Here is a 16,337-nt window from a genome sequence, read left to right as displayed (position 1 = left end):
AACTTTGATCATCCGTCAGACATGGCAGCCTGTCCATGGGAAATAAGAGTGTTGGTGTCTGTGGTCAACATTTCTATTTGGCCTTTAGCATGGAGCTGTCTCCTTTCTTACCATATGCAAAGCAAATTCCAATGCCGTGGATTTTCCCGGCCCTGCTAGCCACGTGTCCCTCTTTATTACTGTCACTTCAGCACAGAGTTTCCAAGAAAGAGACACGTGGAACAGCCTCATGTTGAATTCTAAATCCTACTGATGGACACACCAAATAGCCTCCTGACCACAACAGCATATTCCAAGTCAAAGTTCTCCATGAATGTTCCTTAGCAGACTGAAGACAAATAAATACATGTCACTTTCTTCTTGACCCCAGAGATAGGGACACGAAGGGATAAACGTCTTTGGGAATGGCACCCCTGTAACCTCAGAATCACTACTTCATGACCAGGTGCAGTGACTCTTGCTTGTAATCCCAGCACTTTGGGAGCCCAGGCAGGAGGGTCATATGAGGCCAGGAGTTCCAGATCAGCCTGGGCACATATGAAGACCCTGTCTCTACAAAAATGAAAAATAAAAAATTAGCCAGGGATAGTGGCCTGTGCCTGTAGTTCCAGCTACTTGGGAGGCTGATGTGGGAGGATTGCTGGAGCCTGGGAGGTGGAGGCTGCACTGAGCTACGATTGCACCGCTGCACTCCAGCCTGGGTGACGGAGTAAGATTGTCTCTAATAAATAAATAAATAGACAAAAAGACTCACCATTTTACTAATTTGCTCTTGGGCAGGCTAGGGAATGTTTCCCATATGGGAGTTAAGTATTCGCTATTTATTTTCTTAATTATTATTATTGTTATTATTATTATTACCATTCTTTAGGTTTAATAGCATACAGGCCCTGTCAGAAACCTCATTTGCAGGACTGACCAAGTTGGAGCTACTTATGATTCACGGCAATGAGATCCCAAGCATCCCCGATGGAGCTTTAAGAGACCTCAGCTCTCTTCAGGTAAACCCACGGCATTTATAAGCGTCACTAAATTGCATCCTCTAAGACCAGTAATAAAGAATAGAAATTATGTCATTCTCCTTAATGATCAATAAAACGGCTATTGTTTGACATGAAAGACAAGCTTCATGTCATTACTCTCCAGCCCTTTGTACTGGTTTCTGTTTGTGGTTGTGGCTTTTTAAACTATAAACAGGATCCTTTTGTTTTGTTTTGTTTTCCCCTGTCCTTGCAGGTTTTCAAGTTCAGCTACAACAAGCTGAGAGTGATCACAGGACAGACCCTCCAGGGTCTCTCTAACTTAATGAGGCTGCACATTGACCACAACAAGATCGAGTTTATCCACCCTCAAGCTTTCAACGGCTTAACGTCTCTGAGGCTACTCCATTTGGAAGGAAATCTCCTCCACCAGCTGCACCCCAGCACCTTCTCCACGTTCACATTTTTGGATTATTTCAGACTCTCCACCATAAGGCACCTCTACTTAGCAGAGAACATGGTTAGAACTCTTCCTGCCAGCATGCTTCGGAACATGCCGCTTCTGGAGAATCTTTACTTGCAGGGAAATCCGTGGACCTGCGATTGTGAGATGAGATGGTTTTTGGAATGGGATGCAAAATCCAGAGGTAAGAAGAGAGGAGAGCAGACCACTCCTAGCTGCACATTCTTTTATCTTTTTGGAGACGTTCCATTCTCCAAGGTTCTTATATTGACTTATTCAATGAAATCTGAGCTTCGATGAAATCTGAGCACCCAATCAGCTAGACAGGAACTCAGACTTTAAACGTTACCACTTAAATGTTAAGACATCTCCATTCCCCAACGCAAAGGCAGTTATCCCTTAGTGAAATGTAGTGCTCATGTAATCAGTTACATACAGGTGATGTGGGTTGCCATGGAATGGGTATCTGGAGGATCATGCCAGCCTTGGACTGCAGCTTAATGTGGGAAACTGGGACTGGGAAGGGGCTGTGAATCCATGTTCCATGAGAAATTCACAAAGGATGCTTGGAAAAGAGCAGGCTGGTGAGAGGAGTGGCTACAAGGTCATTATTTTACGGACACGGAAGCGATTCTCACTATTGATCTAGAGAGCTATGACAACAACCAGGACTTATGTGTTGCAGTTGCAACAAAGTAGATTGTGATTCCTTTCTGCCTTCCTTCCTTCTCTCCCCTTCCTTCATCTTCCTTCCTTCCCTCCTTCCTTCCTTCCCTCCTTCCTTCCTTTTCTCTCCTTCCTTCCTTCCTTCTTCTCTCCTTCCTTCCCTCCTTCTTTCCTTCCCTCCTTCTTTCCTTTCTTCCTTCTCTCCTTCCTTCCTTCTTTTTTCCTTCCTTCCTTCCTTCTTTTTTCCTTGCTTCCTTCCTTCTCTCCTTCCTTCCCTGCTTCCCACCTTCCCTCCTTTACTCCTTCCTGCTCTCCTTCCTTCCCTCCTTCTCACCTTCCTTCTTTCATTTTTTCCTTCCTTCCTTCCTTCCTTCCTTCCTTCTCTCCTTCCTTCTCTGGTTCCCACCTTCCCTCCTTTACTCCTTCCTTGTCTCCTTCCTTCATTCCCTCCTCCTCTCCTTCCTTCCTTCCTTCGTTCTCTCCTTCCTTCCTTCTTTCCTTCCTTCCTTCATTCCCTCCTTCCCTCCCTGCTTCCCACCTTCCCTCCCTCGCTCCTTCTTTCCTTCCTTCGTTCCTTCCTTCCTTCCCTCCCTCGCTCCTTCCTTCGTTTCCTTCCTTCCCTCCCTCCCTTCCTTCATTCCTTCCTTCTTCCTTCCTTCCTCCTGCCTTCTCTCCTGCCTTCCTTTCTTCCTTCTGTCCTTCCTTTCATCCCTCTCTTCCTTCCTCCATTCCTCCCCCCTTCACTCTCCCTCCCTCCCTATCTTCCCTTCCTTCCTTCCTTTCTCCCCCTTCTCTAAGCCCTACCTTGCAACCTATCCCCATCCTTAGATTGCATTGTGTTTACCATATCCTGGATCTATTTCCTCAACTCCATCCTCACAGCTGCTGGCCTGGATCAAGCTCCTTTCCTCTCTCTGGTAGAAAGGGGGAGCATTCTAAACAAGTGTCCCCATGTCCTTGTCAGCCCTGTTTTCCATTCACTCTCTACAAAGCAGTGAGAACATTTTTACAGGATGTGCACCCATTCAGGCCACACCTCTGCGTAACTGATTTCCATTGCTTTTAGGATAAGATACACATTTGCACATTCCCTCCAAGAAGTCTCCACACAATGGTCGCTCCACCTGTCCCCACTATCCTCTAGCATGGTGGTCCCATTGCTCTTCTTATTCGTTTATTTCTAGCCACACAGTCTTCCCGTCTGTTCCTTGCAGCTTCTAAACTTATTTCCAACTCAACATCATTGGATTTGCTCAGTTGCCTACTTGGGAGTCTTTACTGCTAGACATTCAAGAGGCTTGCTTTTTCTTAGCTTTTAGAGCTTCATTCCAAGAGGCCATCAAGCAATGGATGTGGGAAAGACAGAGGTACACCCACTTGTGAATGGTCTTAACCAGAAAAGACACACGCCTCCTCCACTCATATTTCATTGGTGGGAACCAGTCCTCACACCCCAGTGGATGTAAGGGGGCCTGAAAATGCATTTGGATGGCTATTTTGTAGCAGCAACACTATATTATGGATGTGGACCCACAAAACTTTGCTGGGCAAAGAACCATCTCTGCTACTGTCTGGAGATACGCATGCATGTCTTTGTGTGTGCATGTCTATGCATGTATTTGTGCACATGTGTGTACATCTGTGTATGTGTAGATTTGCATGTATGTGAAAGAAACTCAAGATTGTAAAGTATTAAGGTTAGTTTTATATAGTGAGCATTTCTGAAGATTGCAATCCCAGGATCTTTCAGAGAGTTTCTGTTAGACTGCTGCATAGCAAGGTTTCAGCCCACAGCTTATACACAGATGGTGGAGTTTCTGCAGGTGCTCAGAAGTCACACCAAATGTGGTCAGAATTCACATCAGTTGTGCTCAGAAGTTATATTAGAGCTGATTCTCATCAAAGTTTGGGTGCCAGGGGACATCTGGTTATAGATTACAGAGGCATAGTCCTTAATCCTGCCAGACATTATCTTATGTGTAGAAAGAGGCAGGGGCTAGGAGCATTGAACTCATCTTTTCTAAAAGTGCAGTGATTCAGGCAAGAGACATGTGGACCTGTGCTCCATCCTGCTCATCATCTTCAGGGCATTCATGTAGAGGCTGCGCTCATTCGCTGAGCCATGAAATTCAGCTGGCCAAGGGATTTTGTGAAATGCTCCTGCTTGTGCTTGCTGCCTTGTCTCACAGCATGTATGTGTGTGGGTATGAGTGTGAGTGTGAGTATGTGTATGTGTGTTGGGGGGAGATGTGCAAAACAATCCTATTCGCATGTTGAGGTGTTTGCTTTGAAAGTCACACAGAAAACCATGGTCAGGAGGGCAAAAGGAAAGATGGCAAAGCCAGTTAGGAGCTTTATAATTCTCCAAGTCATAGATGAAGCAGTATGACTGGCTTCTTCCCAATGGGAACGGGCAGAAGTAGGCAGAGGACTGCCATGAAAAACTCCTAGTCTTCCAGTTTCCCCAGGCAGAGAGAGTATGGCATCACTTACTGAGATAGAACAGGCACGAGATTCTACATTTAGGTCAGGGAGAGAATATAAATTTGTTTCATAGATGTCAGTTTGAGGACTCTTCTTGCTATCTAAATAGACATGTCAAAGAGGCAATGGGGTGTGGAACTCACGGAATGTGTTTGGACTAGAGAAGCACATATGGTAGTCATCACTGGCGGGTGGATGGTAATTGGAACCACACATATGCGAGAGGCCATTGACGCTGAAGCCGACCAGAAAGGAAAGGGGCTTAGGCTCAAGTCAAGGAGGACCCAGTCAGCAAAGATTCAGGCAGAGGAGGAGGAGGAAGCAGTGACTGAGACCCAGTTGTGGCCAGAAAGGACGGAGAAAATTCCAGAGGATTTCATATCCAGGAGACCAAGAGGACAACGTGAACTCAAAAGCAAACACTCTGTGAAGTGTTTACTACAAATATAGAGAGAGTTATAAATATAGATATAGTTACCTAGATACATACGTATTGATTATATATACATTATATATTATAAATGTATAAATATAGTTATAAATATAGATATAGTTACCTAGATACATACATATTGATTATATATAAATTATATATTACAAATTTATAAATATGCAGAGAGTTATAAATATATAGTCCCTAGATACATATTGATTATATATAAATTATATATTACAAATTATAAATATACAGAGTTATAAATATATAGTTCCTAGATAGATACATATTGATTATATACAAATTATATATTATAAATGTATAAATATATAGAGAGTTATAAATATAGATATAGTTACCCAGATACATACATATTGACTATATATATTTATATATAAATATATAAATTATATATTATAACTTATAATTATAAATTATATATTATAAATTATAATTATAAATTATATATTACATATAATTTATATATATAAATATATATAAATGTATTTATGTATAAATATATATAAATATATATAAATGTATTTATGTATAAATATATATAAATATATTTATATATAAATTTATATATAAAATACATATAAATATATATAATATATAATATATAAATTATATATTATAAATTTATAATTATAAATTATATATTATAAATTACAATTATAAATTATATATTATAAATTTATGATTTAAAATTATACATTATAAATTATAATTATAAATTATATATTATAAATTATAATTATAAATTATTTATGAATAAATATATTATTATATATTTATTTATAAATATATGTACATCTATAAATTTATATATTGTTATATCATGACTTAAAAAAGTAAATATGATGTGATACATGCCAAAGATTCTTCCTTTTACCTGAAAATACTTTCAAGGGGTTTATATATTTATATCCATATTTAATTTACATATTATTTATATATACTTAGATATAAATATACATTGATTATATGTCAATATATCTACATATTAATATATATTTATTAATATATCAATATATGTTTATATATCATGATAGATATATATTATATAAATATATATGTATTATATATCTATATGTTATCTATCTATATATCTATTAAGATAGATACATATTTGTATATATTGAGATAGATATCTATCAAGATTTTTTAATATATATTGGTATATATATCAAGATGAAAAACAACAAAAATTAGATATGATGTGATACGTGCAAAGATTCATCCTTTTACCAAGAAATGCTTCCCCAGTTTGCAGTATATTTATATAGATTCTCCTAAACTTTCACAGAAGTTACATTGTAAAATGTATGTGAATGAAGTTGTTTTCTTTAACTTAGAAATGTTTTTTAAATACCCGTTAGTAAGTATTTTAAGACATTTTTAAGTAAAAATTATTATTAATGGTTAAGCAGTTATAAAGCACCCGTTAGTTACCACACAGTGTGCTAAAACTGTGGTTTAACATGAAGCCTCAAAGGCAACTCATGTATAGGATTCCTTGTTTATGGGATTACAGCTGGGTGATAAAGATGCAAACATAGGCTTTATCCTCTGGCCATGTGCAAGGCATGCCATTCTTTGGCTCCTTACCCTATTGTCTATTTGCTTATTTGTTTTAGGAATTCTGAAGTGTAAAAAGGACAAAGCTTATGAAGGCGGTCAGTTGTGTGCAATGTGCTTCAGTCCAAAGAAGTTGTACAAACATGAGATACACAAGCTGAAGGACATGACTTGTCTGAAGCCTTCAATAGAGTCCCCTCTGAGACAGAACAGGAGCAGGAGTATTGAGGAGGAGCAAGAACAGGAAGAGGATGGTGGCAGCCAGCTCATCCTGGAGAAATTCCAACTGCCCCAGTGGAGCATCTCTTTGAATATGACCGACGAGCACGGGAACATGGTGAACTTGGTCTGTGACATCAAGAAACCAATGGATGTGTACAAGATTCACTTGAACCAAACGGATCCTCCAGATATTGACATAAATGCAACAGTTGCCTTGGACTTTGAGTGTCCAATGACCCGAGAAAACTATGAAAAGCTATGGAAATTGATAGCATACTACAGTGAAGTTCCCGTGAAGCTACACAGAGAGCTCATGCTCAGCAAAGACCCCAGAGTCAGCTACCAGTACAGGCAGGATGCTGATGAGGAAGCTCTTTACTACACAGGTGTGAGAGCCCAGATTCTTGCAGAACCAGAATGGGTCATGCAGCCATCCATAGATATCCAGCTGAACCGACGTCAGAGTACGGCCAAGAAGGTGCTACTTTCCTACTACACCCAGTATTCTCAAACAATATCCACCAAAGATACAAGGCAGGCTCGGGGCAGAAGCTGGGTAATGATTGAGCCTAGTGGAGCTGTGCAAAGAGATCAGACTGTCCTGGAAGGGGGTCCATGCCAGTTGAGCTGCAACGTGAAAGCTTCTGAGAGTCCATCTATCTTCTGGGTGCTTCCAGATGGCTCCATCCTGAAAGCGCCCATGGATGACCCAGACAGCAAGTTCTCCATTCTCAGCAGTGGCTGGCTGAGGATCAAGTCCATGGAGCCATCTGACTCAGGCTTGTACCAGTGCATTGCTCAAGTGAGGGATGAAATGGACCGCATGGTATATAGGGTACTTGTGCAGTCTCCCTCCACTCAGCCAGCCGAGAAAGACACAGTGACAATTGGCAAGAACCCAGGGGAGTCGGTGACATTGCCTTGCAATGCTTTAGCAATACCCGAAGCCCACCTTAGCTGGATTCTTCCAAACAGAAGGATAATTAATGATTTGGCTAACACATCACATGTATACATGTTGCCAAATGGAACTCTTTCCATCCCAAAGGTCCAAGTCAGTGACAGTGGTTACTACAGATGTGTGGCTGTCAACCAGCAAGGGGCAGACCATTTTACGGTGGGAATCACAGTGACCAAGAAAGGGTCTGGCTTGCCATCCAAAAGAGGCAGACGCCCAGGTGCAAAGGCTCTTTCCAGAGTCAGAGAAGACATCGTGGAGGATGAAGGGGGCTCGGGCATGGGAGATGAAGAGAACACTTCAAGGAGACTTCTGCATCCAAAGGACCAAGAGGTGTTCCTCAAAACAAAGGATGATGCCATCAATGGAGACAAGAAAGCCAAGAAAGGGAGAAGAAAGCTGAAACTCTGGAAGCATTCGGAAAAAGAACCAGAGACCAATGTTGCAGAAGGTCGCAGAGTGTTTGAATCTAGACGAAGGATAAACATGGCAAACAAACAGATTAATCCGGAGCGCTGGGCTGATATTTTAGCCAAAGTCCGTGGGAAAAATCTCCCTAAGGGCACAGAAGTACCCCCATTGATTAAAACCACAAGTCCTCCATCCTTGAGTCTAGAAGTCACACCACCTTTTCCTGCTATTTCTCCCCCCTCAGCATCTCCTGTGCAGACAGTAACCAGTGCTGAAGAATCCTCAGCAGATGTACCTCTACTTGGTGAAGAAGAGCACGTTTTGGGTACCATTTCCTCAGCCAGCATGGGGCTAGAACACAACCACAATGGAGTTATTCTTGTTGAACCTGAAGTAACAAGCACACCTCTGGAGGAAGTTGTTGATGACCTTTCCGAGAAGACTGAGGAGATAACTTCCACTGAAGGAGACCTGAAGGGGACAGCAGCCCCTACACTTATATCTGAGCCTTATGAACCATCTCCTACTCTGCACACATTAGACACAGTCTATGAAAAGCCCACCCATGAAGAGACGGCAACAGAGGGTTGGTCTGCAGCAGATGTTGGATCGTCACCAGAGCCCACATCCAGTGAGTATGAGCCTCCATTGGATGCTGTCTCCTTGGCTGAGTCTGAGCCCATGCAATACTTTGACCCAGATTTGGAGACTAAGTCACAACCAGATGAGGATAAGATGAAAGAAGACACCTTTGCACACCTTACTCCAACCCCCACCATCTGGGTTAATGACTCCAGTACATCACAGTTATTTGAGGATTCTACTATAGGGGAACCAGGTGTCCCAGGCCAATCACATCTACAAGGACTGACAGACAACATCCACCTTGTGAAAAGTAGTCTAAGCACTCAAGACACCTTACTGATTAAAAAGGGTATGAAAGAGATGTCTCAGACACTACAGGGAGGAAATATGCTAGAGGGAGACCCCACACACTCCAGAAGTTCTGAGAGTGAGGGCCAAGAGAGCAAATCCATCACTTTGCCTGACTCCACACTGGGTATAATGAGCAGTATGTCTCCAGTTAAGAAGCCTGCGGAAACCACAGTTGGTACCCTCCTAGACAAAGACACCACAACAGCAACAACAACACCAAGGCAAAAAGTTGCTCCGTCATCCACCATGAGCACTCACCCTTCTCGAAGGAGACCCAACGGGAGAAGGAGATTACGCCCCAACAAATTCCGCCACCGGCACAAGCAAACCCCACCCACAACTTTTGCCCCATCAGAGACTTTTTCTACTCAACCAACTCAAGCACCTGACATTAAGATTTCAAGTCAAGTGGAGAGTTCTCTGGTTCCTACAGCTTGGGTGGATAACACAGTTAATACCCCCAAACAGTTGGAAATGGAGAAGAATGCAGAACCCACATCCAAGGGAACACCACGGAGAAAACACGGGAAGAGGCCAAACAAACATCGATATACCCCTTCTACAGTGAGCTCAAGAGCGTCCGGATCCAAGCCCAGCCCTTCTCCAGAAAATAAACATAGAAACATTGTTACTCCCAGTTCAGAAACTATACTTTTGCCTAGAACTGTTTCTCTGAAAACTGAGGGCCCTTATGATTCCTTAGATTACATGACAACCACCAGAAAAATATATTCATCTTACCCTAAAGTCCAAGAGACACTTCCAGTCACATATAAACCCACATCAGATGGAAAAGAAATTAAGGATGATGTTGCCACAAATGTTGACAAACATAAAAGTGACATTTTAGTCACTGGTGAATCAATTACTAATGCCATACCAACTTCTCGCTCCTTGGTCTCCACTATGGGAGAATTTAAGGAAGAATCCTCTCCTGTAGGCTTTCCAGGAACTCCAACCTGGAATCCCTCAAGGACGGCCCAGCCTGGGAGGCTACAGACAGGCATACCTGTTACCACTTCTGGGGAAAATCTTACAGACCCTCCCCTTCTTAAAGAGCTTGAGGATGTGGATTTCACTTCCGAGTTTTTGTCCTCTTTGACAGTCTCCACACCATTTCACCAGGAAGAAGCTGGTTCTTCCACAACTCTCTCAAGCATAAAAGTGGAGGTGGCTTCAAGTCAGGCAGAAACCACCACCCTTGATCAAGATCATCTTGAAACCACTGTGGCTATTCTCCTTTCTGAAACTAGACCACAGAATCACACCCCTACTGCTGCCCGGATGAAGGAGCCAGCATCCTCGTCCCCATCCACAATTCTCATGTCTTTGGGACAAACCACCACCACTAAGCCAGCACTTCCCAGTCCAAGAATATCTCAAGCATCTAGAGATTCCAAGGAAAATGTTTTCTTGAATTATGTGGGGAATCCAGAAACAGAAGCAACCCCAGTGAACAATGAAGGAACACAGCATATGTCAGGGCCAAATGAATTATCAACACCCTCTTCCGACCAGGATGCATTTAACTTGTCTACAAAGCTGGAATTGGAAAAGCAAGTATTTGGTAGTAGGAGTCTACCACGTGGCCCAGATAGCCAACGCCAGGATGGAAGAGTTCATGCTTCTCATCAACTAACCAGAGTCCCTGCCAAACCCATCCTACCAACAGCAACAGTGAGGCTGCCTGAAATGTCCACACAAAGCGCTTCCAGATACTTTGTAACTTCCCAGTCACCTCGTCACTGGACCAACAAACCGGAAATAACTACATATCCTTCTGGGGCTTTGCCAGAGAACAAACAGTTTACAACTCCAAGATTATCAAGTACAACAATTCCTCTCCCATTGCACATGTCCAAACCCAGCATTCCTAGTAAGTTTACTGACCGAAGAACTGACCAATTCAATGGCTACTCCAAAGTGTTTGGAAATAACAACATCCCTGAGGCAAGAAACCCAGTTGGAAAGCCTCCCAGTCCAAGAATTCCTCATTATTCCAATGGAAGACTCCCTTTCTTTACCAACAAGACTCTTTCTTTTCCACAGTTGGGAGTCACCCGGAGACCCCAGATACCCACTTCTCCTGCCCCAGTAATGAGAGAGAGAAAAGTTATTCCAGGTTCCTACAACAGGATACATTCCCATAGCACCTTCCATCTGGACTTTGGCCCTCCGGCACCTCCGTTGTTGCACACTCCGCAGACCACGGGATCACCCTCAACTAACTTACAGAATATCCCTATGGTCTCTTCCACCCAGAGTTCTATCTCCTTTATAACATCTTCTGTCCAGTCCTCAGGAAGCTTCCACCAGAGCAGCTCAAAGTTCTTTGCAGGAGGACCTCCTGCATCCAAATTCTGGTCTCTTGGGGAAAAGCCACAAATCCTCACCAAGTCCCCACAGACTGTGTCCGTCACCGCTGAGACAGACACTGTGTTCCCCTGTGAGGCAACAGGAAAACCAAAGCCTTTCGTTACTTGGACAAAGGTTTCCACAGGTAAGATGTTTAAGCATCTACTTTTTTTTTTTTTGGTCAATTTTTATTTTATTGGCTAGCAATATAATACATTAAAACAGTATATGGTGAACAACATAAACACATTAGGAGAAATTTTTATAACACATTTGGGGAAATTTTTTACTCGAATAAGTGTTTATTTTTATTTTTATAACTTCAGCTTTTATTTTAGACACAGGGGGAACATGTGCAGGCTTGTCACACGGGTATATTGTGTGATGCTGAGGTCTGGGGCACAAATGATCCCATTACCCAGGTAGCCAGCGTAGCATCCAATAGGTACATTTTTCAACCCTTGCCACCCCTCCCTCTCTCCTCTACTAGTCCCAAGTGTCTATTTGTCCTATCTTTATGTCCATATGTACCCAATCTACACTTCAACCAGAGTTTGTGTAGGAGAAAGTTACTGGAGTCTTACTTTAGGATTAATTTACCTTTCTTATGGACTCAAGGGCCTCTCTGGGCAGGGGTGGCTGGCCACTGCAAGCCTGGGATGCCCATGCAGCCAGCTAGCCCGAGGAGTTCAGGAGAACAGCATGAGCATAAATAAATAAGGGAGAGGCTGTGTCTCTAGTAATTGAGCTTGTGGCATCTTAGCTCACCTTGGAAGTGGCTGGGACTCATGCCTGCTTCCAGAATTCTCTATTAAACCCACATTTGCTGTCCTTTGCCTGAAGATGGCCCTGTTTCTGGGATTAGTGTAAAGATGAAAAAGAGAAACAAAACATTCTTTTTCTCTATCCTTTTTTTACAGCATACTTATTTCGTATGTGTGTGATGACAACACAAAATCTACTCTCAACAATTTTCAAGTATAAGCTAAATTGTTATTAACTATAGTTGCCATGAGTATAATATCACTTAAGCATATTCCTCCTAACTGAACTTCATACTCTTTAATTAATATCTTCCCTTTACTCCCATCCCCAGCCCCTGGTAACCACCATTCCACTATCTGCTTCAGCTTCTATGAGTTCAACTTTCTTACGCTGCACATATAAGTGAGATCATGCAGTGTTTGTCTGTCTGTGCCTGGTTTATTTCACTTAATCTAATGTCCTCCAGGTTCATTTATGTTGTGGCAAATGACAGAATTTCGTTTTTTGTTTGTTTTTTTTTTAAAGAAAAAGAAAAGACAGAATGGCATTTCATTGTGCATATATACCACATTCCCTTTATCCATTCATTCATTGATGGACACTTAGCTGAATTCCATATCTTGGCTATTGTGAATAGCACTGTGGTAAACATGGGAGTGCAGATGTCTTGTCAACATACTGACGTCATTTCCTTTGGATAAATACCCAGTAGTGGGATTGCTAGACCATAGGCAGCTCTATTGTTAGTTTTATGAGGAATCTCCATACTGTTTTCCACAGTGGTTGTACCAAATTACATTCCCACCAACAGTGTACGAGGGTGCCCTTTTCTCCACATCTTCACCAGTGTCTGTGTTTTTGGTCTTTTTGATAATAACCATTCCAGCAGGCATGAGATGATATCTCAGTTTTACATTTCTTTCATGGTTAGGACCAAAACAGGCTGGGTGTGGTGGCTCACACTTGTAATCCTAGCACTGTGGGTAGCCAAGACAAGAGAATCACTTGAGGTCAGGAGTTCAAGACCAGCCTGGGCAACACAGCAAGACCATGTCTCTACAAAAAACAAAAATTTAAATTATCCAGGAGTGGTGGCCTGCACCTGTAGCCCCAGCTACTTAGAAGGCTGAGTCCAGGAGGTTGAGACTGCAGTGAGCTATGATTGTACCACTGCACTCTCGCCTGGGAGACAGCAAGACCCTATCTCTAACGAATAAAATAAATATAAAAAAAACTTTTAAAAACACTAAAACATTCTACCTACTACATTTGCTTTTGCTGCCTGGGTGTTAAAGTGGAGAATTAGATTAACTAATACTGCTCGTTTGAGCATTATCAAAAGGGCACAGTTTATGCCAAAGCTGACTGTGTTAATTTTCTCCAGGAGCTCTTATGACTCCGAATACCAGGATACAACGGTTTGAGGTTCTCAAGAACGGTACCTTAGTGATACGGAAGGTTCAAGTACAAGATCGAGGCCAGTATATGTGCACCGCCAGCAACCTGCACGGCCTGGACAGGATGGTGGTCTTGCTTTCGGTCACCGTGCAGCAACCTCAAATCCTAGCCTCCCACTACCAGGACGTCACTGTCTACCTGGGAGACACCATTGCAATGGAGTGTCTGGCCAAAGGGACCCCAGCCCCCCAAATTTCCTGGATCTTCCCTGACAGGAGGGTGTGGCAAACTGTGTCCCCCGTGGAGGGCCGCATCACCCTGCACGAAAACCGGACCCTTTCCATCAAGGAGGCGTCCTTCTCAGACAGAGGCGTCTATAAGTGCGTGGCCAGCAATGCAGCCGGGGCGGACAGCCTGGCCATCCGCCTGCACGTGGCGGCACTGCCCCCCGTTATCCACCAGGAGAAGCTGGAGAACATCTCGCTGCCCCCGGGGCTCAGCATTCACATTCACTGCACTGCCAAGGCTGCGCCCCTGCCCAGCGTGCGCTGGGTGCTCGGGGACGGTACCCAGATCCGCCCCTCGCAGTTCCTCCACGGGAACTTGTTTGTTTTCCCCAACGGGACGCTCTACATCCGCAACCTCGCGCCCAAGGACAGCGGGCGCTATGAGTGCGTGGCCGCCAACCTGGTAGGCTCCGCGCGCAGGACGGTGCAGCTGAACGTGCAGCGTGCAGCAGCCAACGCGCGCATCACGGGCACCTCCCCGCGGAGGACGGACGTCAGGTACGGAGGAACCCTCAAGCTGGACTGCAGCGCCTCGGGGGACCCCTGGCCGCGCATCCTCTGGAGGCTGCCGTCCAAGAGGATGATCGACGCGCTCTTCAGGTAGGCAGCTCTGCGTGGCTTCCTGTAAATCGCTGGGCTGGTGGCCCCAACGAATATGAGTCCTTTTTCAGGATGAATATGCACACACGTTGCTCCCTGCGTCCGATAAAATTAAATGAAATTAATTAGCAGGGCACGGTGGCTCACGCCTGTAATCCCAGCACTTTGGGAGGACGAGGCGGGCGGATCACTTGAGGTCAGGAGTTCGAGACCAGCCTGGCCGACATGGTGAAACACTGTCTCTAATAAACATACAAAAATTTGCGGGCATTGTGGCGAGCGTCTGTAGTCCCAGCTACTCTGGAGGCTGAGGCAGGAGAATTGCTTGAACCCGGGAGGTGGAGGTTGCAGTGAGCCAAGATCATGCCACTTCACTCCACCCTGGACGACAGAGTGACATTCCATCTCAAATAATAATAATAATAAATTCATTAGAGACAGGGTGTCACTCTGTTGCCCAGGCTGGAGTGCAGTGGTGCGATCATAGCTCACTGCAGCCTCAAACTTCTGGGTTCAAGCGATCGTCCAGCCTCAGCCTCCTGAAGTAGCTGGGACTACAGGTGTGCACCATGAGGCACGGCTTGTTATTATTATTATTATTATTAACTTTTTGTAGAGATGGGTTCTGCTGTGTTCCCAAGGATGATCTCGAACACTTCACCTCAAGCAATCTTCCCGCCCTGACCTCCCAAAGTGCTGGGATGACAGGCTTGAGCTCCTGTGCCTGGCCCGGTGTGTGATTTATTTATTTATTTATTTATTTATTTATTTATTTATTTATTTATTTTTGAGACGGAATCTCGCTCTGTGGCCCAGGCTGGAGTGCAGTGGCACTATCTTGGCTCACTGCAAGCTCCGCCTCCCGGGTTCACGCCATTCTCCTGCCTCAGCCTCCCGTGTAGCTGGGACTACAGGCGCCCGCCACCACGCCTGGCTAATTTTTTGTATTTTTAGTAGAGACGGGGTTTCACCGTGTTAGCCAGGATGGTCTCGATCTCCTGACCTCCTGATCCGCCGCGCCCGGCCCCAGTGTGTGCTTTTTCTGCAATGAAATTTTGTCCCTCTAAACTCGGATCCAGAACAAATACTCAACTTCTTAACAAATACTTAACTTCCTCCTCTCTTGCCCCATAAAAAAAAAAAGGAAAAAAGGATAAATGAACCAAGAAATTCTTGTTTTAATGATTATATGTTTAACTATAATGTTAGGACAAACAATTCAGCTTGCCTCTATTTCCATTATTGATTTCAACAAAATACATAGACGTGTTAGGCTTTATTTTAATATGACATTATTGATAGAGTCAAAGTGTATACATTGTTTTAAAAGCATCATTACCACACCAACATAGTGCACTTGAAATGATAAAAATGTACTTGGGCTATGAAGAAAGCCAAGCCACCTTCTAATCAAGTGCCATCTGTTCCCAGATATACAGGTTTATGGCAGTGCTTTTCAACCAAGGGTGATTTTGCCCCAAGACAACACTTGGCAATATCTGAAGACACCTTTGATTATCACAAATGGGGCAGTGGGTGCTTCTGGTATCTGGTGGGTGGAGGCCAGGGACGGTGCTCAACACCCTGCAGTGCACAGGATGGCCCATCACAGATTGTCATCCATCCTACCTTCAATGTCCATAGTGCCAAGGTCAGGTAACTCTGTCTTAGCATGAAAGGTTCTATCTATCTATCTATCTATCTATCTATCATCTATCTATCTATCTATTCTATCTATCTATCTATCTATCTATCATCTATCTATCTATATCTATCTATCTATCATCTGTCTGTC

The 16,337-nt window shown here is 43.5% G+C and overlaps 1 protein-coding gene across 1 annotated transcript in view; it reads left to right on the top strand.

Annotated features, from left to right (window-relative positions):
• The window catches only part of MXRA5 (matrix remodeling associated 5), a 38,088-nt gene that overhangs the window by 15,008 nt on the left and 6,743 nt on the right, over nt 1-16,337 (top strand). The window contains exons 3-6 of the mRNA NM_015419.4: nt 872-1,001; nt 1,237-1,627; nt 6,670-11,637; nt 13,642-14,542. Coding sequence (NP_056234.2) covers nt 872-1,001; nt 1,237-1,627; nt 6,670-11,637; nt 13,642-14,542 — 6,390 coding nt within the window. The remainder of the gene's footprint in view (nt 1-871; nt 1,002-1,236; nt 1,628-6,669; nt 11,638-13,641; nt 14,543-16,337) is intronic.

Source organism: Homo sapiens, chromosome X (genome assembly GCF_000001405.40).
Source record: "Homo sapiens chromosome X, GRCh38.p14 Primary Assembly".
In the NCBI taxonomy this organism is placed as follows: domain Eukaryota; kingdom Metazoa; phylum Chordata; class Mammalia; order Primates; family Hominidae; genus Homo; species Homo sapiens.
The sequence above is the reverse complement of the archived record's forward strand: the minus strand, read 5'-3'. Positions and strand labels throughout refer to the sequence as shown.